We start from the raw sequence: 24,623 nt of genomic DNA, 5'->3' as shown, positions 1-24,623 counted from the left end.
CACAGAGATTGGGCCAGACACGATGGCTCATGACTGTAACCCCAGCACTTTGGGAAGCCAAGGCAGGTGGACCACTTGAGCCCAGGAGTTCTCAAGACCAGCCTGGGCAACATGGCAAAACCCCGTCTCTACAAGAAAAACAAAAATTAGCTGGGCATGGTGGTGCGCACCTGTAGTCTCAGCTACTTAAGAGGCTGAGGCAGGAGGATCACCTGAAACTGGAAGTCGAGATTGCAGTGAACCATGATTGCACCACTGCACTCCAGCCCAGGTGTCAGACCATGCTCCAAAACCAACCAACCAAAAACAACAACAAAAGAAATACCTGAGACTGGGTAATTTTTGTTTGCTTGTTTGTTTGTTTTGTTTCATTTTGTTTTTTGAGATGGAGTCTCACTCTGTCGCCCAGGCTGGAGTGCAGTGGCGTGATCTCAGCTCGCTGCATCCTGAAAGGAGGTTTTATTGGCTTACCGTTCTGCAGGCTATATAGGAAGCGTAGCAGCATTTGCTTCTGGGGAGATCTCAGGAAGCTTCCAATCATGGCAGAAGGCAAAGGGGGAGCAGGCATGTCAACAGCAAAAGCAGGAGCAAGAGAGAGAGTGAGGGGAAGGGGCCACACCCTTTTAAACCATCAGATCTCTCACTTCTCACCAAACGGATGGCCCAAGCCATTCATGAGGGATCTGTCCCCATGATCCCAATACCTCCCACCAGGCCCTACCTCCAGCATTGGGGATTACAATTCAACATGAGTTTGGGTGGGGATAAATATCCAAATTATATCAGCATGTATTTAAAAAGGGAGAAGTATAGTCCTATAAATGAAGCAACCACCTTGATTTCCCTCAGCCACCAGTAAGTAGAATCAGCATTTCCCTTGGGCTGTTTCAGAGAGGCTTCCTGTAGGTCCTGGGCCCACTTGGAATGAGCTTTCTCCACCCTGAGCTGCTGAATCTCCTTGGAGCCAAAGCTGAGAGGCAGGCGCTCCAGAGCCAGGAGATCTCCGTGAAATCTGCCTTATTTCCTCTTTTCGAGGAATAAAGTGTCCCCCAAGCCCCTCATGGATCTTTCTGACTGATACTCCTCAAGTGTTCCTTGCTAATCTCTCTGGATGAGCACCAAAACCTCACTACTCTTCAGGGGTTGCCAAGGGGGATTTCTTATCTTTCTTATCTCATCTTTCCCATCTCTTAAATCTCCAGGACTTTCTCTTTTCATGAATGTGCTCTGCTACTTGCATAGGCACTAAGATGGAAATGAGGCTCTCTAAGGGAAAGTCAAGGCCTTCTTTGCCTTTGGGGGTTGAGAACACACCCTTGAAATAAGGAGCAGGCGTGGAGACCAAGCTTATCCCCCTCCAAATTAGTGCCAGGTTAGAGTGTGGAGAGATGGCTGGTCTTCTTGCCTTCTGTTGCAATCATCTATTGCCGGGTAACGAATAAGCCCAAACCATAGTGGCTTAAAACAATGTTCATTTGTTTGTTTGTTTGTTTGTTTGAGATGGAGTCTTGCTGTGTTGCTCAAGCTGGAGTGCAGTGGTGCGATCTGGGCTCACTGCCACCTCCACCTCCCAGGTTCAAGTGATTCTCCTGCTTCAGCCTCCTGAGTAGCTGGGATTACAGGTGCCTGCCACCATGCCCGGCTGACTTTCGTATTTTTACAGAAACGGGGTTTCACCATATTGGCCAGGCTGGTCTTGAACTCCTGACCTCAGGTGATCCTCCCTCCCCAGCCTCTCAAAGTGCTGGAATTACAGGTACGAGCCACCATGCTGGGCTGGATTCATTTGTTATCCTTCATGGTTTCTGTAGAATAAAGATTCATAAGCAGCTTGACTGGACAATTCTAGCTCAGGATATCACATGTGGCTACCGTTGGGGTCACCTAGAAGGCTTCTTCACACTCAAGTCTGGTGTATGGATCAGGAAGACCTGTGGAGCTGGTGGCCAGAAGAGCTGGTTCCTTGGGCGTCTCTCTCTCTATCTTGATGTGGTTTCTCCATGTGATCTCTCCGTTGTGGTGGCTTCAGGGAACCAGATTTGTTTCTTTGTTTTTTTGTGCTTTTTGAGACTGAGTCTCACTCTATTGCCCAGGCTGGAGTGCAGTGGCACAATCTCAGCTCACTGCAACCTCCGCCTCCTGGGTTCAAGCGATTCTGTGCCTCAGCCTCCCAAGTAGCTGGGATCACAGGCATGCTCCACCATGCCTGGCTAATTTTAGTAAAGACAGGGTTTCGCCATGTTGGCCAGGCTGGTCTCGAATTCCTAAGCTCAGGTGATCCATCCGCTCAGCCTCCCACAGTGCTGGGATTACAGGCATGAGCTACCATGCCTGGCCTAGAATCATACTTCTTATGTGGTGATCACAGCACCCAAAGCATGTGTCCTGAGAGAATGAGAGAGGGCCAGGTGGAAGCCATATTACCTTCTCTGAGCTATCTTTGGAAGGATACGTGTGCCTCTTCCGCTTTATTCTATTGGTTGAAACAGTCATAGAGGCCAACCCAGGTTGAAGGGAAGGGGAAATAGACTCCACCTCTCATGGGCAACAGAAAGTTCTGGAAGACCATGAGGGACTGAAAATATTGCAATGGGTCATATCTACCCATTATATATTTCTGGTTATGATTACTATGATGGTTGTAGACTGAAATGTGTAAACTAAAACAATAAATCTAGGATATGACATGGGAGGATATCCTTATGTCCTCAGGATGGGGAAACATTTCTAAGACAGGACATGAAAATACTAACCATAGGCTGGGCGCAGTGGCTCACGCCTGTAATTCTAGCACTTTGGGAGGCCGAGGCAGGCAGATCACCTGAGGTCAGGAGTTTGAGGCCAGCCTGGCCAACATGGTGAAACCCCATCTCTACTAACAACACAAAAATTAGCCAGGCATGATGGTACACTCCTGTAGTCCCAGCTACTCAGGAGCCTGAGGCATGAGAATCGCTTGAACCCAGGAAGCGGAGGTTGCAGTGAGCCAAGATTATGCCACTGCACTTCAACCTGGGTGACTAAGACAGACTCTATCAAAAAAAAAAAAAAAAAGGAAAGAAAAAGAAAAAAATACTAACCATAAAGAAAACAGCTGGCTGGGTGCAGTGGCTCATGCCTGTAATCCCAGCAATTTGGGAGGCTGAGGTAGGCGGATTGCTTGAGGCGAGGAGTTTGAGACCAGTCTGGGCAACATGAAGAAACCCCATCTCTACAGAAAAAAATACAAAAATTAGCGGAGTGTGGTGGCAGTGCACCTGCCTGTGGCCCCAGCTACTTGGGAGGCTGAGATGGGAGGATGGCTTGAGTCCAGGAGGCAGAGGTTGCAGTGAGCTGAGATCACGCCACTGCACTCCAGCCTGGACAATGGAGCAGGAGCCTGTTGAAGGAAGGAAGGAAGGAAGGTAGGGAGGGAGGGAGAGAGGGAGGAAGGGAAGAGAGGAGAGAGAAAGAAAGAGAGAAAGAGGCAAGAAGAAAGAAAGAAAAAGAAAGAAAGAGAGAAAGAGAAGAAAGAAAGAAGAAAGAAAGAAACAAAGAAAGAAAGAAAGGAGGGAGGGAGGGAAGGAAGGAAGAAAGGAAGGAAGGGCAAACAGTTGATCAATTGGACTTCATTAAAATTAAGATCTTCTGTTCATCAAAATATCCCATTAGAGAACAAAAATGCAAACCACAGAATGGGAGAAGATAGTTGAACTAAAGATATCAAGCAGAGGATTCATATTCAGAATATTTAAAAAGGATGCCTGCAAATTAATAAGAAAAAAATGCAATTAAAAAATAATTGGCAAAACACACAAGCTTTTTACAAAAGAGAAATCCAAATGGCCAATAAACCTGTCAAAAAGGAGTCAATATCATTAGTCAATTAAATGCAATTAAAACCACAGTGAGATTTTTACATATGTAAATAAAACTAAGCTAAGATTTTTGCACCTTACTATATATAAATTTTACACTTACACATGTAAAAATGGCTAAGTTTACAGGAAAAAAAAAGAAAAGAAAACCTGTTAATACCAAGTGTTGTTAATGCTTAGAGAAGCTGAGACCCTTGTATACAGATGGTGGGAGTCCAAATTAGTACAACCACTTCAGAAAATTGTTTAGTAGCATTTCCTAAAGCTGAACATAAGCATACACACTCCAAGAATATGCCTAGTAGTGATGTGTAAATATGGATCCAAAGATATGTTCAAGAATGTTCATAGTGGCATTATTGATAATAGCCTCAAACTAGAAACCACCCAAATATTATCATAGTGGAAAAGATAAGTAAAGTGTGGCATATTTGTTCAATGCTATAAATGCAACACTGCATGTGGCATTATGCAATATAGCCTGAAGTTGGACAAACCCATACAATCACACATACACTCACTAACATGCCACTGAGTGAAAGAACGAGCTATATGATTTCATTTACATAAGGTTAAAAACTAATGAAAACAAATGTGGAGGCTCTAAGTCTAATCTGCGGTTAGCTTTGGCAGTGGTGATAGGGATGACTCGGAGGCGCAGGAGGAACACTTTTGGGATTGGGTAACATTGTATATCTTCATCTGGGTGGCACTTACAAAGAGGTGTTCCCTTCTTAAAAATTATTTGTATACTTTTATTGTATGCACATTACATATACTTCTATTTAAAATCACATATACTTCCATTTGTTTCTTTTTGTTGTTGTTGTTGTTGTTTGAGACAGAGTTTTATTCTTGCCGACCAGGCTGGACTGCTATGCCAGGATCTTGGCTCACTGCAACCTCCACTTCCCAGGTTCAAACGATTTTCCTGCTTCAGCCTCCCGAGCAGCTGGGACTACAGGCACTCGCCACCATGCCCAGCTAATTTTTGTATTTTTAGTAGAGATGGGGTTTCACCATGTTGGTAAGTCTGGTCTCGAACTCCTGACCTCAGGTGATCCACCCACCTCGGCCTCCCAAAGTGCTGGGATTACAGGCATGAGCCACCTCAATCGGCCTTAGAAGTTTGCTTCTAAAAGATCGTTATGCCCATGTTCTATACCAGTGGTCGGCAGACTATAGCCCCAGGTCAAATCTGGCCAGCTACTTCTCTTATAAATAAAATTGTATTGGAACACAGCCATCCTCATTCACTTACACATTGTGTAAGGCAATTTTTTTTTTTTTTTAGAATGCAAAGTATTTTATTTTTAAACTTTTAAAATTTGAAAACAAGCTAGCCTACATTAAATAATATAGTTTCCAAAGCTGAATGTGCTCACTTGGAGCTCAGTTTTTCTGCTTGAAACACAAACACAACTTCCTAACACTCCTAGGTGGGAACACTACTGTTTGATGATCTGTGATTAGATGAACTGATCGATCTCAGTTGGTAACATCCCTTTTTTTTTCCTTGGTAAGGGTTTAAAAAATTCTAGAAGAGATGCATTTTTTCTGGTTTTACACTGACAATTTCATCCCGAACGTCTCCTGGGAGGCACAGACCATGTACAGGAATCCATCTTCATCTTTCTCACTCTCATACACCTCTGAGATTGGTGTGGAGACGCTGACCATGCTGTGTCCGTTCACCAACAGGAAGAAGGCCTGATTAGCATTGAGCTGTAAGCGCCTTCTAATTATCTTGATGAGCTCACTCATGTTGACATGGTCAGGTACAAGGAACTTTGTTTTATCCAGAACAGGAAGCTGCTTCTCACCCTTGTATCGTTCTATTATCACCGGGATTTTGGTTGGATGCTGCTCTCGAATAAGTCGGACATCTTCTACTCTTTGTTCGAAGGTGCGCCGCTGCTTGAAGGTCTTCTCCGACGGCATGGTGTGGGGATCTGGGCCGCGGCGGCGACGACGCGAGGGTCCCGGCGGCTCCTGGGGGTGGCGGCTGCTGCGGCAGCGAATCCGACTGTGGCCGTGTAAGGCTATTTTTGCACAATAACAACAGAGCTGAGTAGTTGTGGCAGAAACTGTATATGTTACAGCCACACACCATCATATATTTACTATCTGTTCTTTTACAGAAAACATCTGCTGACACCTGTTCTATAGTACATTATTTTGGGGTCTTATTCAAGCCTTTGGCATGTATTAGAGAAGAGTCAAGACTGTTTTTCAAGGGAAATCTTGGCTTTATTGAAAAGCACTCCTTCAACTTAACTCTATGCCTAACTGGGGTGCCTTCTATTAAGACACAAACCTCAGCTGGGTCTCTAAGACTCAGTTCCAGGAAGGCAGGCCCACCCTGCCTTTGAGTGATTGTCAAAGTAATATGATTTGCTTTGAATTTTTACCCCTAATTCTGTTTTTAAAGATACTGATCATTTGAATTATGAAAGTCATGTATATCTTTTGTAGCAATTCAAACAATAAAGAATTATCTAAAATAAAGTTAATAGCCGCTCCACTGCTCTCCAATGCAACTCCCTGATTCATTCACTGCTAAGAATTTGATATAAATGTTTCCTTCCTGTTTTCTTCATTTACAAAAACATATAGAAACTCCCTTTCAGAGTTTGACTTTTTTTCTTCTTTATTTTTTTAATAAAAATTGAATAATATTTGCTTGCTTTTTTTTTTTTTTTTGAGACTGAGTTTCGCTGTTGTTGCCCAGGCTGGAGTGCAATGGCACCATCTTGGCTCACCGCAACCTCCGCCTTCTGGGTTGGAGTGATTCTCCTGCCTCAGTCTCCTGAGTGGCTAGGATTACAGGCATGCACCACCAAGCCCGGATAATTTTTGTATTTTTAGTAGAGACGGGGTTTCTCCACGTTGGTCAGGCTGGTCTTGAACTCCTGGGCCTCCCAAAGTGTTGGGATCACAGACGTGAGCCACTGCACCCGCTGACATTTGCTTTTTTAATATTTAACAAGGTGTTGCAGGGCTATCTCCCAGCCACTATGTTCAGATGTATTATATTTAAATATATAGGCCTGTAATCCCAACACTTTGGGAGGCTGAGGCTGGTGGATCACTTGAGGTCAGGAGTTCAAGACCAGCCTGGCCAACATAGCAAAACCCTGTCTCTACTAAAAACACAAAAATACTAAAAATTACCAAAATTAAAAAAATACAAAAATGTGTATGTGTGTTTGTATGCTTTTTTTTTTTCTTTCTTTTTGAGACAGGGTCTCGCTCTGTCCCCCAGGCTGGAGCACAGTGGCACGATCATAGCTCACTGCAACCTTGACCTCCTGGACTCAAGCAATCCTCCTACCTCAGCCTCCCAAATAGCTGGGGCCACAGGGGCACGCCACCACACCCAGCTATTTTTTATTTTTTATTTTTTGTAGAAGTGGAGTTTTGCCATATTGCCCAGGTTGTTCTTGAATTCCTGGGCTCAAGAGATCTGCCCACCTCGGCCTCCTTATGTGGTAGATTGCAGGTGTGAGCCTCTGAGACAGCCTATTTTGTAATTTTTAATACCTGCACTGTTTTTCTTAATATAAATATATCATGACTTGCTCAACCATGTTTTTGTTAATGTACATTCAGACTGCTTCCAGGTTTTTTTTTTTAACTATTACAAACGATACTGCAATAAATTTCTTTATAGATTTATGTCTTTGTATACTGACATTTTCATTTCTGGTGGATATATTCTCAGAAATAGGAGTCCTGGGCCACAGCTTAAATTTTCAAAAATACCAAGTTGATTTTCCACCACGTTATAATAATTTACAGACCTCCCCCAATGGTGTTCAAAGGAACTGGATTTCTTACACCCTCACGAGCTCTGGATGTTACACATATGTTCCATTTTTGCCAATCTGATGGGTAAAAAATAGTATCTCATTGTTCTCATTTGCATTTGCCTGACAAGTGAGGCTGAGCATCTTTTCATATGCTCGTTGGCCATTTGCATTTCTACTTCTGTGAAAGCTGCAGCCTTGCCCCATGTTTTGCCTGGGCTATTGGTCTTTTTATTTTGTAAGATTGTCTTATAAATTAAGGATATCAGCTGGGCGCAGTGGCTCATGCCAGAACTTTGGGCAGCCAAGGCGAGTGGATCACTTGAAATCAGGAATTTGAGACCAGCCTGGCCAACATGGTGAAACCCCATCTCTACTAAAAACACAAAAATTAGCCAGGTGTGGTGGCGCACACCTGTAATCCCAGATACTTGGGAGGCTGGGGCAGGAGAATTGCTTGAATCCAGGAGGCAGAGGTTGCAGTGAGCCGAGATCACGCCACTGCACTCTAGCCTGGCGACAGAGCGACTCTGTCTCAAAAAAATAATAAAAGAAAAAGAAAAAGAAAAAGGAAGACGATATTAATCCTTTATGAATTATATAGTTGCAAATCTTTTATTTGTTTATGCTGTTTTGCCATGGTTCTGCTTTTAATCTAAAATAATTAAATTTCTGCCCCCAGGTTCTTGCTAAGAATATAACTAAGATCGTTTGCCTTATCAGAATCTCAGCTGTGAAAAATAATGTATATGGAGCTCTGTTTAAAGCAGTGGCTCTCAAATATTTTCTAATTTTAAGTAACAGAAACTTTTTTTTCCTAACAAGTTTTTATGTAGAAAAAAAGATAATTCAGCTGGGCACCGTAGCTCATGCCTGTAATGCCAGTGCTTTAAGAGGTCAAGGTGGGAGGATCACCTAAGATCAGAAGTTTGAGAACAGCCTGGACAACGTGGTGAAACGCTGTCTCTAATAAAACTACAAAAATCAGCTGGGCATTGTGGCACGTGCTGTAGTCCCAGCTACTCAAGAGACTGAGGCAGGAGAATCGCTTGAACCCAGGAGGCAGAGGTTGCGGTGAGCCAAGATCGTGCCACTGGCCCTGGGAGACAGAACCAGACTCCAGACTGTCTCAGGAAAAACAAACAAAAAAAATCCGCCACAATTGAATTGAGGCTGAGGGCCCAGACCTCTGCCTGCCAAGGGCCTCTCCATCCCTCCCTAGCAGCCTCTGAGACTCTGTTCTGGGGAACTTAGTTTGAGAACCATTGACCTAAAGACTCTGCAGTCCTTCTATGTACTTAATCACCGATTTCCAGTGTGTTCCACAGAATAGTAAGTGGATATTAACAAGTATTCTGTGAAGAAAAGACTCTGGGATTGTTCTATGGCATGTAGAACTGAGGCATGCCTTGGCTGGGCGCCGTGGCTCACGCCTGTAATCCCAGCACTTTGGGAGGCTGAGGCGGGCGGATCAAAAGGTCAGGAGTTCGAGACCATCCTGGCTAACACGGTGAAACCCTGTCTCTACTAAAAATACAAAAAATTAGCCGGGTGTAGTGGCGGAAGCCTGTAGTCCCAGCTACTCGGGAGGCTGAGGCAGGAGAATGGTGTGGGCCTGGGAGGCGGAGCTTGCAGTGAGCTGAGATCACGCCGCCGCACTCCAGCCTGGGCGACAGAGCGAGACTCCATCTCAAAAAAAAAAAAAGAACTGAGGCATGCCTTTCCTTTTTGGACTAGATACGTTTTGATTCTTTTGAGATGAAAATGTTAGTGTACCAGGAGACAGGAGCTGGACAAAGAGTAACAGATACCCTTGATTTCCTTTCATATGCAATACCAAAACAAATAGACGATGCCCGTGCTGCTTCTGGCAATCTATCTGCTGAAGGTACAACTCTTTGGTTTTCTGATTGGCCTGAGCAAGTGTCGATCATTTTATGATCAAGGTTATGGATAATCTAAAGGTCTTGTCTGATGTCTATAGAGAGGACTCTTTTTTATTTTCTTAGCGGCAGAAATTGTGAACTCTCGGTAACATTCAATCACACCCTTCTTTTCCTTTATTTGCAATGTAAGAGGACAAGTTTCTCCCTAACCCTTTTTTTTTTTGTAACGGTCATAGCTATAGAAAACAAACAAGAAGTATGTTGTTTTCTACAGCTATGACCATTAAAAAAAAAAACAACAGTTGCTTTAAGCAGGAACTTCGCGGACATTACTTTGTTTCTCTCCTAGGTCTTTTTAGGACAAAGGAGAGACAGTTCAGAATAACGTCCCTAAGAATAGCAGTCCGTGGCCGGGCGCGGTGGCTTACGTCTGTAATCCCAGCACTTTGGGCGGCCGAGACAGGCGGATCACGAGGTTAGGAGATCGAGACCATCCTGGCTAACACGGTGAAATCCCGTCTCTACTAAAAATACAAAAAAATTAGCTGGGTGTGGTGGTGGGCACCTGTAGTCCCAGCTACTCGGGAGGCTGAGGCAGGAGAATGGCATGAACCCGGGAGGCGGAGCTTGCAGTGAGCAGAAATCGCCCCACTGCACCCCAGCCTGGGCGACAGAATGAGACTCCGTCTCAAAAAAAAAAAAAAAAAAAAAAAAAAAAAAAAAAAAAAAAGAACAGCAGTCCCTTACTCCCATCTATTCTCACGAGAAGGAAAAATTCATTTCATGGTAGGATCAGTGGACCTAGGTCACATTTTGAGACTGCCCCAAGGTTCTTGCACAACAGTAGTCAGAGAAACCTGGCAAATGCTGGGTTTCCTTACTGCAGGACTTCTCAGAGCCTTTAAAATGCTAGTGTTTTACTGTGCACTTCCAAGAGGAAGACGTGAGTGGGTTTCCCACCTTTCCTCAACCACAGAAGCCATTATGGGCAGAGCTTTTCCAAGATTGTTATTCCATAGTGTACTCTTCAGAAAAAGCTGGACTACATGGTCTTAAATATGTCCTTAGATAAAATCAGACCCTTACAGAATTGCAGCTTTAAGCCGTTTGTTTTGGCCACTTGTAGATTTTCTTGTATTGAACCTCCCTTAACCTGAATTGAGGCACATTACAGAGAAATCATGGTATAAATATGCTATCATTTTTATCACAAGGAAGTTGCAATAAAATTGCAACCGATAGAAGAACATTTCTTATATACCTTGTTACTCACACAAACTGTGTTTTCCCAAGTGATCAGTTGCCTTACACAGGTGCTTCTCGACTTATTAATACATCCTGGTAAACCTATCATACGTTGAAAATGCATTTAATTCACCTAACCTACCAAACATCATAGCTTAGCCTAGAGTATTACTTTGTTTTCATGTGGCTGATAAAGACTTACCCAAGACTGGGTAATTTATAAAGAAAAGAGGTTCCACGTGGCTGGGGAGGCCTCACAATCATGGTGGAAGGCAAAAGGCACATCTTACATGGCAGCAGGCAAGAGAGAATGAGAGCCAAGTGAAAGGGGGAACCCCTTATAAAACCATCAGATCTCGTGAGACTTACTCACTACCACCAGAACAGTATGGGGGAAACTGCCCCCATGATTCAATTACCTCCCATTGAGTTCCCCCACAACACATGGGAATGATGGGAGCTACAATTCAAGACAAGATTTGGGTGGAGACACAGCCCAACCATATCACCTAGCCTACTTTAAACAAGCTCAGAACACTTATATTAACCTACAGTTGGGCAAAATCATCTAACACAAAGCCTATTTTATAATAAAGTGTTGAATATCTCATGTTTATTGAATGCTGTACTAACAGCAAAAAGCAGAATGGCTGTATGGGTACTTGAAGTACAGTTTCTACTGAATGCATGTTACTTTTGCACCATCATAAAGTTGAAAAATTATAAGTTGAGCCATTGTAAATTGAGGATCATCTGTATGCAACCCTGTGAACTTTAGTAATGAGGGTATTTCCCTCTTTGCCCCTTCTTCTGAGCCACTGACAATAATGATATACAACTTTGTGGGTATGCATTTTGGGTAGTGATTTTATTTTATTTTATTTTATTTTTGAGATGGAGTCTCACTCTGTGGCCAGGCTGGAGTGCAGTGGCGCGATCTCGGCTCCCTGCAACCTCTGACTCCTGGGTTCAACCAATTCTCCTGTCTCAGCCTCCCAAGTAGCTGGGACTACAGGTGCGTGCCACCATGCCCAGCTAATTTTTGTATTTTTAGTAGAGACAGGTTTTCACCATGTTGGCCAGGATGGTCTCGATCTCTTGACCTTGTGATCTGCCCACCTAGGCCTGCCAGAGTGCTGGGATTACAGGAGCGAGCCACCATGCCTGGCCTGTTATCTTTTATTTTAACATTTTTCCTAGCTTTATTTTTACTTTATCCCCATTTCTTTGATTTGCATTTTTATTTTGTTGTATTGAGGTATGTATATAAGCGCCATTCTACTTCTTTGTTGAAATGTAGTGGGACATCATGATAAAATAAACACATACCTACGTGCATATTCCAACTAGCATATATTAAATACATAGTTACATACAAGGTAGCTGCTAGGGTCTTAAGGAAATAGAGATGAACAAGTTATGGTCCTTGTCCTTGAAGGATTTACAGTTTTGCCAATGAAACAGATGTTAAGTACATTGCCACAATCCACAGGCCCAAATAACAACTACTACGTTGTGGGTTAAGTAGTAAGAGAGGTATGTTTAAAGTGCTCTGGATAAGCCAGAGAGAATGCATAGAAAGACCACATAGAGACAGGAGGAGATGCCTGAGGACCCCCAGCTATTTTAGCTCCCCACTGTTTAGGTCTCTTCAGCATCAATCTCTGGACAGCTTCTGGACAGGTGAGTGAGCAATTGTCTTAGTCTGTGTTCTGCTACTATAACAGAATATCATAGACTGGGTAATTTCTAGAGAAAAGAAATTTATAAAGAAAAGAAATTGGCCGGGCGCGGTAGTTCACACCTGTAATCCCAGTACTTTGGGAGGCCGAGGTGGGCGGATCATGAGGTCAGGAGATCGAGACCATCCTGGCTAACACCGTGAAACCCCATCTCTACTAAAAAAAATACAAAAAGTTAGCCAGGCGTGGTGGTGGGTGCCTGTAATCCCAGGTACGCAGGAGGCTGAGGCAGGAGAATGGCGTGAACCCAGGAGGCGAAGCTTGCAGTGAGTGGAGATGCGCCACTGCACTCCAGCCTGGGAGACAGAGATTCTGTCTCAAAAAAAAAAAAAAGAAAGAAAAGAAATTTATTTCTTACAGTTCTAGAGGCTGGGAAGTCCAATATCAGGGTGCCAGTGTCTGGCAAGGGCCTTCCTGCTGCATCATAACATGGTGGAGGGCATCACATGATGAAAGGGCAAGAATATGTGTGTCAGCTCAGGCCTCTCCTCCTCTGCTCATAAAGCCACCAGTCCCATCATGGGGGCTGCACCCTGATGACTTTATCTAATCCTAATTACCTCCTAAAGGCCCCACATCCAAATACCATCAACATATGAACTTGGAGATCTAAGTTTCCAGTACATGAAATTTGGGGGACACATTCAAACCATGCAGTAATCCTTCAGGTGATTCCAGCCCCAGCCTGAAGTGGAGCCAGAGGGCATCCCCCAAGCTCTGCACAAATTACAGACTTGTGAATAAAGTACATGTTGTTTTAAGCTAAAAACTGAAAAGATTTTAAAAAGTGCTATGAGGACCCAGTGAAGGAGCAAATAAGTCTGCAGGGCAGAGAGACAGGAAGAAGAGTGGGAAAAGCTCCAGAGATTGTTAGGCTGTGGCCACATGTGAGGTTCAGGGCATTCGCTCACTTGAAAAGATATGCCAAATTGTGTGTACGTGTCTGTGCATTCTTTTTTTTGAGAAAAGGGCCTGTTACTCTCAGCAGATTCTCAGAGATGTTCATAATCCACAAAGGGTCGCATCTATTGCCTTGAAAGGATCAGAGACAATTGCCAGGACGACAAAGAATGGAAAAAGAGCTGCAAAGCTATCAAGGCATTGGAGTCTGGTTTGGCAAAAACATAGGTTAGGCCTGACTGGAGATTCACATTTACTCACTTAATCATTCTTTCGTTCAACAAATAATTTACTGAACACCTAGTGCAGATCAGGCATTGTGCTGGGCATCTGAAACACAATGGGGAACATGATCGTTTGTCCTTTTCAAGAACTCGCAGGCTCCAGACACTTCCCCAGAAGGTTTTCCTAATCCCCAAATCCCTTCCCACTGTTCTATAAAATGAGTCTGTCATTCCTCCTCTAAGTGTTTTGGGTTCCATTTTCTTCTCTCCTGGCAACCGAAACCCTTAGAGGGTTTACATATATATATATATTTTTTTATTTTTATTTTTTAGACAGAGTCTCACTCTGTCACCCAGGCTGGAGTGCAGTGACACAATCTCGGCTCACTGCAAACTCCACCTCTGGGGTTCAAGCAATTCTCCTGCCTCAACCTCCTGAGTAGCTGGGATTACAGGCATGTGCCACCACACCTGGCTGATTTTTGTATTTTTAGTAGAGACCTGGAGTCAACATGTTGGCCAGGCTGGTCTCAAACTCCTGACCTCAAGTGATCCACCCACGTCGGCCTCCCAAAGTACTGGGACTACAGGCGTGAGCCACCGTGCCTGGCCAAAAAAAAAAAAAAAAAGATTTGCAAAGCAGTCAACAAGATACAAGTGACTAAAACTCTCCCAGGAATTAATTTTATAAGCTCATTTTGGTCTTTTCTCAATCAGCATGAAATTACCATGATTTCTTTCTTGAGAAAGAAATAAATCCCCTCAAGGAATAAAAAGACTTCTTTCTAAGTTGAGAACCTGAGGGTGGACATAGCTAACATGTAAAGCTGGAGAAAGGAGTTAGCCATGGGATAGGAGGTGCTTTTACTTGCCTATAATTTCAATTTGAATCTTGGTGGTGTGCAAACAGCATCTCTCAGCACTCTAAATCTCCAAAAACCCAGGCACCTTTGAAGACATGAATTAGCCAAAGAGCTAACTTGCTTTCCTTACCTCCTTTGTCCTTTCCCCTCCCTCTCCCTTCTCTTCCTTTCCGTTTCTCTTGCTTTCAAAATTATTCTCAAGACATACAGAAAAGTTTTATCCTGCAGTTTTGAACTCAATTCTTTTTTTTTTTTTTTTTTTTTTTTTTTTTTTTTTTTTTTTTGAGACAGAGTCTCACTCTGTGGCCCAGACTGGAATGCAGTGGCACGATCTTGGCTCTCTGCAACCTCTACCTCCTGGATTCAAGCAATTTTCCTGCCTCCGCCTCCTGAGTAGCTGGGACTACAGGTGCCCACCACCACGCCCAGCACATTTTTGTATTTTAGTAGAGACAGGGTTTCACCATGTTGGCCAGGCTGGTCTCGAACTCCTGACCTCAGGTGATCTGCCTGACTCGGTCTCCTAAAGTGCTTGGATTACAGACATGAGTGACCACACCTGGCCTCAATTCTTGTTTTTTTTTTTTTTTTTTTTTTTAATCACTGACTCACAGTTCCACGTACTGTATCTCAGATTTTTCATCTCTGAAATGGGTATGATCATACAAGAAAACAACATTTGTGGATATTTTAAGGATTTGGGGTGTTTTGTTTTGTAGAGGTTACACACACACACACATATCTGATTAGCCTCTAGGCAGAGTGGGGACACAGAAACTTCCTCACAACAATCTAAGCAGAGAACATCTTCTTCCTTTACCTGCTGGTGCATTTGTCAATATATTTGGTTGAATTAATCTGCTTAATAATCTAGCCTGCAGCTACCTCAGACTCACTCTTGAAACACAAAACACAACCTTCTCTTTCAGGCAAGGTGCTTCCAACTCCTGGTAGTTATGAGTAGTGGGAAAAGAAGAAATGCATTTTGCTGCATGTTTTGTTCCCAGGACACAGGTTCAAGCTTGCCCTTCACCCCCAAGCAAGTTTTATTCTCTGGAAATCTTCCTTGAACATTGGCAGGCTCAGAGAATCTCTGTTCTCGATGAGCTATAAACTGGCATTTCTGGCCTGATGAGAAGTTTGTTATTGTCTAGATGTTGCTCATAAAATGGATTTGTTGTGGAGAAAGTCTGTCTGTGTTGGAGGGGAAGGCAGAGATGTCAGGGGAAAGAACGAATTCATGCAGCCTTGTGGTGAAATAGCAAAAAGAAACCTCACGGCTCTGAGTTCAAAAGCCAACCCTACTTAAAGATTTTGTGCTTTCGTAAATATTGCTTTCATAAATATTTTGTAATGTGTCTCTGTTGTTTTTGCCTGCCAAGGGGCCAATCTCCTTGCTTCTGGAAGGAGCAACCCAGTTTTGCTTTGGAATCTGTCCTCCCACTATCGTATATCATCTTGGTAGAATCATTAACCAAAGTGTCTTGTCCTCCTCTGGCCAAGAGGTAAGCCCATGACTGTGACTAGACCATATATCTCCTCCCAGAAATTTGAGTCTTGAAGGACCCCATGGGCATGGAGCTAATTTGTCCAGTCATCTATGTCCTGAAGAGACTGTTTCTTAGTTCTCCCGTGATATGGTTTGGCTCTGTGTCCCCACCCAAATCCCATCTTGAATTGTACTCCCATAATTCCCACATGTTGTGGGAGGGACCCAGAGGGAGATAACTGAATCATGGGGGCGGCTCCCCCATACTGTTCTCGTGGTAGTGAATAAGATGTGTGAATGAGATCTGATGGTTTGATAAGGGGAAATCCGTTTCGCTTCGTTTCTCATTCTCTCTTTTCCTGCCTCCATCCATGTAAGACATGACTTGCTCCTCTTTGCCTTCCACCATGATTGTGAGGCCTCCACATCCATGTGGAACTGTAAGTCCATTAAACCTCTTTCTTTTGTAAATTGCCCAGTCTCGAGTATGTCTTTATCAGCAGTGTGAAAACAGACTAAGACACCCTGGATCTCCAGAGTTTCTGTGGTCTCTGTCCCTTTTGAGGACTATTCTTTGGCTATTACTTCTTTTTGGTGAATTCCCCTAGGCCCTTCCAATATGTTCCTTTTTTAAATTTTTCTTTCTTAAGTTATCAGGGTGAACTTCTTCTGATTCTGGCCATGATGAAGGAATTGGTACCAAAGTTGTTTTCCAGCTGTACACAACTGGAAAGCCAGACCAAAGATATAAAACAATTGTTTTTCAGAGATTGGGCCACAGGTAGTGTAGAACTATGAGGCCTGAAAGAAGGGATGCAAATCAAGTGAGCCCAGTGATCACCCTGGCTTTCTGCCTGGAAGAGCTTTTTAGACTGCAGCACAGGGAGGAGGATCCCATGCAGAGCACAGTGGCCTCTCTGAGTTGAAGAGAGAGATTATAATATATGGAGGTTGAAAAGGCTGAAATTTGTGACGCAAAGTCCCAGGCAAGATGGTGTTATATGGACACATAGTGCCAGAAATCTGCACAGGGGACCACTTGAGTCACTGGCTAAATACTAAGTTGCTCAGATATTGGGTAAAATGATACAAGACTGTCAAGGAACTGCTATTGGAGAGGTATAAGCTGAATAATTCCAAGAGCTCTCATGGGACTGGGGGACATTCAAATCTTAGCAAGCCAGAATGGGAATAATTTGTTGAACATCCAAGGCATTCATTAGAGACCACTGTGAGGCTACACCTTTCTTGTAGGCCTAAGCCAGCTTTAGATAAGAAGCTTCTCTAGAGCCACTGCAATAAAGCTTAAAAAAAAGCCTTAAAAAAAAAAAATCAAGCTGGTCAATGAGTAACTCAATTGCCTCCCAAAACAAACATCAAAGGAAAATAACAAAACCCAGGCACTCAGCTGCACAGCATCTACATTGTCTAGCATCCAATGAAAACTTACTAGACATCTAGAGAAGCAGGAAAATGTGACCCATTATCATGAAAAATACCAGTCAATATAAACAGACCCCAAATGACAAAGATGATGTAATTAACTGACAAAGATTTTAAAAGTTATTATAAATATGTTCATAGATCTAAAGAATATAAACATAGTGAAAAGTGGAAGCTATAAAAAAAGAACCAAATGTATCTTCTGGAGATAAAAAATACAATATCTAAAATAAAAATTTGCTGGGTGTGGTGGCATGCACCTTTAGTCCCAGCTACTTTGGAGGCTGAGGTGGGAGAATTGCTTGAACCCAGGAGTTTGGGGCCAGCCTGGGCAACACAGCAAGATCCCATTTGTTAAAAAATAAAATAATAATTTACTAGATGAGTTTAACAGCATATTAAAGACTGCAGAAGAAAAAAAAATCAGTAAATCCAATGACATAATAATAGAAGTTATTCACATTAAAGAACCAGGAGAAACAAGGGCCAAAAAAATAAATAATCAGAGTGTCAGGGGCCTATGCAACAATAACAGAAGATCTATCCTACGAATAATTGCAGTTCCAGGAGGAGAGGATGAAAATAAAACCCTGAAATAATAATGGCTAAAAATGTTCCAAAGTTGATAAAAACTATAAAGTTACAGATCCAAGAAGCTCAGCAAAGCCCAGGCAAGATAAACACAAAGAAAAGAACATCAAGGCACATCTTAATCAAATTGTTTAAAACCAGCAATAAAGACCAAAATCTTAAAAGCAGCCAAGGTAAAAATACATATTACATACAAAGAACCAAGATAAGAATTATCACTGATTACTCCTTAGAAACAATGCAACACAGAAGACAATGGAATAACACCCTTAATGCATTACATTTGAAAACAAAAACAAAACTGTCAACCAAAAGTCTGTGTCCAGTGAAAATATATTTTTTAAATGAAGGTGAAAGAATGTTTTACTGACAAAAAGTGGTAGAATTTATTACCGGTAGACCTACACCATATGAAATATTAAAAGAAGTTCTTTACCAGGTGTGGTGGCTCATGCCTGTAATCCCAGCACTTTGGGAGGCCGAGGTGGGCAGATCACCTGAGGTTAGGAGTTTGAGATCAGCCTGACCGACATGGAGAAACCCCGTACTAAAAAAATACAAAATTAACCAGGCATGGTGGTGCAGGCCTGTAATCCCAGCTACTCGAGAGGCTGAGGCAGAAGAATCGCTTGAACCTAGGAGGCAGGGGTTGTGGTAAGCCGAGATCGCGCCATTGCACTCTAGCCTGGACAACAAGAGCGAAACTCCATCTCAAATAAAATAAAATAAAATAAAGTTCTTGTTTGGGCTGAGCAAAAATAATACAGGGTGAAAACTCAGATTTATTTAAGAAATGAAGAATGCCAGAAATCATAAATAAGTGAGTAGATATAAAATGCTTCTGTATCTTTGAAATTTTTTCAAGTTTTGCCAAGTCAGACTTTCTAGGTGTTTTACAATCCAGAATCAAGACACAGAAACGAGGAGCTATATAGTATTTCAGATACCAGCTCATCTCTGAAGCAACTGTGAGAAAATGCCAACATCTGTCAGTTATGGAGAGCAAATACATAGTTAATTGTCATAGTCACTTTTGTAATCAGCTATACATTTGAAAGTTTAAAAAATACCAACTCTTTTATGGTACAGATTGGCCACTCAAAGCCTTGAGATTTATGTGACTTTCCCAAGGCATGCACCAAGCACATCATCGTTCTACCTTCCCAGGGCTACATGGATCAGACGACAGCCCTGGACTTACTAGTGATTTTATGCAAGTGATTAAGTTACTCTAAGCCTCAGTTTCTTCTCATAAAATAGGGATAAGAGGTCTACCTCCTGCTCAGATTATCACATAAGACACTGCATGAGTCAGGATGCCTTTGTTTACAAGTGATCAACTCAAACTGTCTTAAACATAAAGATTTATTGTTTCACGGAACTTGCGAGTTTGGAGCTACGGATGGTTTCAGGCACAGGTGGATCCAGGGATACAAATATTGTTGTCAGGACTCTCCCACTATCTTTTATCTCTGCTTTCTGGGGTTTTGGCATCGGTCTCAGGCAGCCTCTCCCTAGGTAGCAGCAGAGATGCTCCACGCTCATATCCCACCACATAGTGGAACCAAGAGAAAGTGAATTTCTTTTCCCTACGAGTTTCGGCAACTATTTGCTCTGATGGACCCACTTTGGATCACATTCCCATCCCTGAACTGAGCTGAGTCTGACTGGTCAGGTCTGGGTGATATACCCTCTCCTGGAATGAGGGGGTGGAAGAGAGATGGTCTCCCGAAGGCAAGCCAGGATGCTGAAGCAAAAGATAGTGTCATAGATGCTGACAGGGAAAAACAATAGCCTTACTACACTTGTGTAAAGCACTGGACAATAAGAAGCACAGAGTCCAGCCTCGTTCAAGAACAGCTTTGCATGTACTTGCTCCATCCTTACAACAACTGTGTAAGGGAAGTTTTCTAATTATCTCCATTGGACAGATGAGGAGACAGAGGCCCAGGGAGGGTAAATACCTTACCCCAGGCCACACAGCTAGTAAGGGGCAGAACCAGGATCCAGCTGCCTCAGTGAATGGCTAATGGCTGCTGGTTAATGAGGTCACACTCCTGGCCTGTGGCCAAGACTTATCTACAACCAGGGACCCTCGACTCCTCCCTTAGTCTCGGGAGTCCTCAAGGCCCCATCCTGCTTCCTGATCGTTATGAAGTCTGGGGAAAGGGAAACTCGGTGTCCACGCAAACAAGATGCTGTGAATGTTTTCAGCCCAGACAAGGGGAAGGAGATGGCCAGGGGAGGACCTGGTAAACAGAAGCCTGGGGTGGCTCTGTTAGTTTCTTATGAGTGCCCTAATATCCTTGGTTTGTAGCTGCAAAACTCCAATCCTCACTTCCAAGTTCCTCTGGGACTTCCTCTCTGTGTGTCTAATCTACCCATCTACCTCTGCCACACTTTTTTTTTTTTATTTTGAGACAGGGTCTCACTTGGTCACCCAGGCTGGAGTACAGTGGTGCCATCATAGCTCACTGCAGCCTCGAACTTCTGGGCTCAAGAGATCCTCCTGTCTCAGCCTCACAAGTAGCTGGGACCACAGGCACACACCACTGTCCCCCACAGCTTTTTTTCTGAGATGGAGTCGTGCTCTGTTGCCCAAGCTGGAGTACAGTGGCACAATCTCAGCTCACTGCAACCTCTGCTTCCCGGATTCAAGTGATTCTTGTGTCTCAGCCTCCCAAGTAGCGGGGACTACAGGCATACACTACCATGCCCAGCTAATTTTTGTAGTTTTAGTAGAGATGGGGTTAAGCCATATTGGGCAAGCTGGTCTTGAACTCCTGGCCTCAAGTGACCTGCCCACCTTGGACTCCCAAGGTGCTGGGATTAGAGGTGTAAGCCACTATGCCCAGCCTTTTTTTTTTTTTAAACTATTTGTAGAAACAGGGTCTCCCTATGTTGCCCAAGCTGGATCTGCCTTCCTTTTATAAGGATACCTGTCATTGGATTTGAGGTCCACCCAGGTAGTCTAGGATGATTCAATCTTGAGATCCTAAAATTAATTTACACCTGCAAAGATCCTTTCTCCATTAAGGTCACATTCACAGGTGCTGCAGCACATTAGACTGTGGACATATCTTTTCTTTTTTTGGTGGAGGTGTGACTGGGGAGACACTATTAAACCCACTACAGTGTAAAAGTAGGCCAGATGTGATGGTTCACACCTGTAATCCCAAGACTTTGGGAGGCCGAGGTGGGCGGATCACTTGAGGTCAGGAGTTCGAGACCAGCCTGGCCAACATGGCGAAACCTCGTCTCTACTAAAAATACAAAAATTAGCTGGGCGTGGTGGCGCACCTGTAATCCCAGCTAGTCGGAAGGCTGAGGCAGGAGAATCACTTGAACCCAGGAGGCAGAGGTTGCAGCGAGCCGAGAGCGCGCCACTGCATTCCAGCCTGGGCGACAGAGGAAGACTCTATCTAAATATATATATATACATATACATACATATATATATATATATATATATATATATATATATATATATATATATATATATAGCCAAACTTAGCTTTATTTCAGAGCCGTTGCTGGGCCTGGGAGTGGAGAGAGATCAGGAGAGCGCCACCAGCTTGGATCGGTTAGTGAGCTGCGGTGGTTTTTGTTTTTGTTTTTTTTTTCTTGACAGTGTCTCCTATTGTTTTGTATTTCTCTTTTGTTTTGAGGTTTTCTGCCATCTTTTCTGGAAGGTGCATGATGCTCAGCTCTGTGGTTATTTTTGCCCAACAGCTGTGTTTCCGGTGAGCGGCTGTGGGATTCTTCTGACTCAGCAAAACTGGAGCAGTAACCGTCAAGAAGCCATTCAAGCAAGGCTAGAAATAAAGAAGCTGTTTCTTCACCGTCCCCTCCTCCTCCTCTCACTTCCCTCCCCATGGGTACCTTTTGAAAGTCTCACAAAGCACTTTGAAAAAACTACTTGGACCAGTATGCTGGAGGGTTGACTGAAGGTGGCCCCTCCGCTGGGCTTTAAGCAAACAGATAAATTCTGGAAAGGACTCTGCCCTGCCAGCCTGGCTGTGGCCTTCGGAAGGCCCCTCCCAACATGCCCCCACCCGCCGATCACATGGACTGTGTCTTACAAGTTTCCCACAGGTCTGACTAGTGAAAGCAGAGGCTGTGGGGACTTTTGTGGTTTTTCTAGGGTGTGGCCCCACTTTGCCTTCACCAGGCCTGAGTATCTATGCCGTGCAGCTTGCCTGCTTCTCAAAGGTCATGATTTCCACCCTGGGGCTGGGAGGCAGCTACATATTCCTACCCGCTGGCACAGGATCTGGCCCTGCACTCCCGAGAGGTGGCTGCGAGCCTTGCGGAGGCAGAGAGAGAACAAAATGGAAAGGAATCTTCCTCCCGGAGAGCCATCTTCTGTGCATGCCGGTGCCTGCAAAAGACAGGCGAGGCGAGACAGCTGCACCTCGGGCCTCGTCGCTGTTGCTGAGAAAGAAAGGAACAAATAAATTTAGCTCCATCCTACGCATCCTTTGCAGCTGCTGATTGACCAAACAGAAAGAGGCCTCTATTTCAACCCTGGCTTCTCAGCTTTTTGCCTGATGGGGTCTGCTATCGCCCTTTACAAGGGACTTTTGAAGGAGGAAACGGGCCGTGGCCTTATTTAGCGCCTGGCCGGCTGGAGGCTGCACAGACAGGAGTTCAAGTTTAGGGTGTCTCTTCTTGCCCATCCCAAAGCAAAATGGTGGCCCGGAAACGTTTCCAAATGGGCTTCGGCTCCTGGAATTTCCAATGTATTTATTTGGAAGCCAGAACATGGTGGGTGGAGAGATGTGTAACTGTGCCGAGGCCAGCCTATAGCTCCCGAAGCCATTAGTTTAATAGCACCATTTGTGGAAATAAAGAACTCGCTGACTGGGCTTGAAGGTAAAAGACTGGAACGAAGCACTGAGGGGGTTTCGTGGGGCTCACTAGCGTGGAGAGGTCCCTGCGGGATGGGGGACAAGCTGTGTGGACTTTGAGTCAGATAGACTTGGGTTCCAGTCCTAGCTCTATCACCTAAAGGCACGTTGTCTCTGGACAAAGAGAGCCTTTGCTCTGTGATATGTAAGTGAAATGCTAGCTGTGACACTGAACCTCTCTGAGCCTCAGTTCCTTATCTGTAAAACAGCAATGATGACACGAGGTCGTCACAAGGATTAAATGACAAAGAATACTGAACCTACATAGCCCAGCTCTTGCTGTGCCATGATGGTGTAGAGTGGCCCCTGTTTGACCTGCCCAGGCCCATTCTCCAAAGAAGCTGTACAGGTGAGGTGGCTCACCCCTGTAATCCCAGTACTTTGGGAGGCCGAGAAGGGAGGATCACTTGAGCCCAGGAGTTTGAGGCCAGCCTGGGCAACATAGAGAGACCCCATCTCTGCAAAAAAATAAAAAAAATTAGCTGGGTGTGGCGGTGCACGCCTGTGGTCCCAGCTACACAGGAGGCTAAGGTGGGAGGATCCCTTGAGCCCAAGAGGTCCAGGCTGCAGCCTGGGTGACAGAGCAAGACCCTGTCTCTAAAAAAAAAAAAAAAAAAAAAAAATAGAAGGTGTTTCTTCCCCAATCCTCTCCTTTCATTTCCCTCCCCGTGAGTACTATTTGGAAGTCTCACACGGCACTTTTTAAAAACCACTTTAAGTCCGGGTGCAGTGGCTCATGCCTGTAATCCCAGTACTTTGGGAGGCCAGGGTGGGTGGATTACTTGAGATCAGGAGTTCAAAACCAGCCTGGCCAACATGGTGAAGCCTCATCTCTACCAAAAATACAAAAATTAGCGGGACACGGTGGCACATGCCTGTAGTCCCAGCTACTCAGGAGGCTGAGGCAGGAGAATCGCTTGAACCCGGGAGGTGGAGGTTGCAGTGAGCCGAGATTGTACTACTGCCCTCTAGTATGGGTGGCAGAGTGAGACCCTGTCTCAAACAATAACAACACTTTAACCAGTATCCGGGAGGGCTGCTGAAGGTGGCCTCTGCTAGGCTTTACACAAGCAGATGGGTTCTGGAAAGGACTCCACCAAACCAGCCTGGCTTTGCCTTTGGAAGGCCCCTCCCAAGATGCCCCCACTCGCCACTCACATGGACTGGGACTCTGTCTTACAAGTTTCCCACTGGCCTGAGCAGAAGGTGGGAGGAATTTCTGTGGTTTTCTAGGTTGGCCACAGAATACTACTCTTCCTCCTCCCACTCTTTTTTCCGTAAGATTTGGGGCTCAACTTACTCTCAAACTCTGGAAGTGAGGAGGTGGCCCAGGCCTGATCATGGGGTCTCATATGCCCCTGGCCATAGTGATTCATTTCTGGAAACATCCCTGGGACTCAAGCTGGGACAATCAGAGTGAATTTCAGGAATGTTGGATGAATCTCTTAGGAGGGAGGAAATCTTTCTGCTGGATTTCTAAAAGCTCAAGTTTTACACTCAGTGCTGCCATTGGCTCTCTTTGTATAATGGAAGGAAGAGTTGTTCAGAGAATGAAGCTAACAGAGATGAAACCAAAAATGGAGAGATCATATGCTGATGACCATTTGAGCCCCTTGATCCCGCCATGCCTGAAGCCATCACCCCTTCAACTTGCTAGTTATGTG

General features: G+C 44.2%; 1 protein-coding gene across 1 annotated transcript, besides 9 other annotated features; it reads right to left on the bottom strand.

Moving 5' to 3' along the window:
- Positions 4,363-4,657: a silencer, noted in NCBI's record as "tiled region #4921; K562 Repressive DNase matched - State 8:EnhW". NCBI's record gives its function as "represses a minimal TATA promoter and a strong SV40 promoter by Sharpr-MPRA in K562 cells {active_cell/tissue: K562}" and the evidence as "EXISTENCE:reporter gene assay evidence [ECO:0000049][PMID:27701403]".
- MAP1LC3B2 (microtubule associated protein 1 light chain 3 beta 2) lies at positions 5,135-22,360 on the bottom strand. The gene is made up of 2 exons (NM_001085481.3): positions 22,308-22,360; positions 5,135-5,899 (listed from the first exon to the last, which is right to left on the bottom strand). The coding sequence occupies exon 2, from the start codon at positions 5,796-5,798 to the stop codon at positions 5,421-5,423; it is 378 nt and encodes a 125-aa protein (NP_001078950.1). The 5' UTR covers positions 5,799-5,899; positions 22,308-22,360; the 3' UTR covers positions 5,135-5,420.
- Positions 8,669-9,169: an enhancer, noted in NCBI's record as "H3K4me1 hESC enhancer chr12:117010377-117010877 (GRCh37/hg19 assembly coordinates)". NCBI's record gives its function as "activates a minimal SCP1, AML or CMV promoter by ChIP-STARR-seq in primed H9 embryonic stem cells {active_cell/tissue: H9 hESC(primed)}" and the evidence as "EXISTENCE:reporter gene assay evidence [ECO:0000049][PMID:30033119]".
- Positions 19,983-20,277: an enhancer, noted in NCBI's record as "tiled region #12411; HepG2 Activating non-DNase unmatched - State 23:Low". NCBI's record gives its function as "activates a minimal TATA promoter and a strong SV40 promoter by Sharpr-MPRA in HepG2 cells {active_cell/tissue: HepG2}" and the evidence as "EXISTENCE:reporter gene assay evidence [ECO:0000049][PMID:27701403]".
- Positions 19,983-20,277: a silencer, noted in NCBI's record as "tiled region #12411; K562 Repressive DNase matched - State 5:Enh". NCBI's record gives its function as "represses a minimal TATA promoter and a strong SV40 promoter by Sharpr-MPRA in K562 cells {active_cell/tissue: K562}" and the evidence as "EXISTENCE:reporter gene assay evidence [ECO:0000049][PMID:27701403]".
- Positions 21,767-21,866: an enhancer, noted in NCBI's record as "active region_7096". NCBI's record gives its function as "activates an Ori minimal core promoter by ATAC-STARR-seq in GM12878 lymphoblastoid cells {active_cell/tissue: GM12878}" and the evidence as "EXISTENCE:reporter gene assay evidence [ECO:0000049][PMID:35858748]".
- Positions 21,907-21,956: an enhancer, noted in NCBI's record as "active region_7095". NCBI's record gives its function as "activates an Ori minimal core promoter by ATAC-STARR-seq in GM12878 lymphoblastoid cells {active_cell/tissue: GM12878}" and the evidence as "EXISTENCE:reporter gene assay evidence [ECO:0000049][PMID:35858748]".
- Positions 22,177-22,516: an enhancer, noted in NCBI's record as "active region_7094". NCBI's record gives its function as "activates an Ori minimal core promoter by ATAC-STARR-seq in GM12878 lymphoblastoid cells {active_cell/tissue: GM12878}" and the evidence as "EXISTENCE:reporter gene assay evidence [ECO:0000049][PMID:35858748]".
- Positions 22,177-22,865: a biological region, named in NCBI's record as "H3K27ac-H3K4me1 hESC enhancer GRCh37_chr12:116996681-116997190".
- Positions 22,356-22,865: an enhancer, noted in NCBI's record as "H3K27ac-H3K4me1 hESC enhancer chr12:116996681-116997190 (GRCh37/hg19 assembly coordinates)". NCBI's record gives its function as "activates a minimal SCP1, AML or CMV promoter by ChIP-STARR-seq in naive H9 embryonic stem cells {active_cell/tissue: H9 hESC(naive)}" and the evidence as "EXISTENCE:reporter gene assay evidence [ECO:0000049][PMID:30033119]".

The sequence above is a fragment of the Homo sapiens genome, chromosome 12, assembly GCF_000001405.40.
Source record: "Homo sapiens chromosome 12, GRCh38.p14 Primary Assembly".
Classification (NCBI taxonomy): domain Eukaryota; kingdom Metazoa; phylum Chordata; class Mammalia; order Primates; family Hominidae; genus Homo; species Homo sapiens.
Note: the sequence above shows the minus strand (reverse complement) of the source record. Positions and strands in the feature narration are given on the sequence as shown.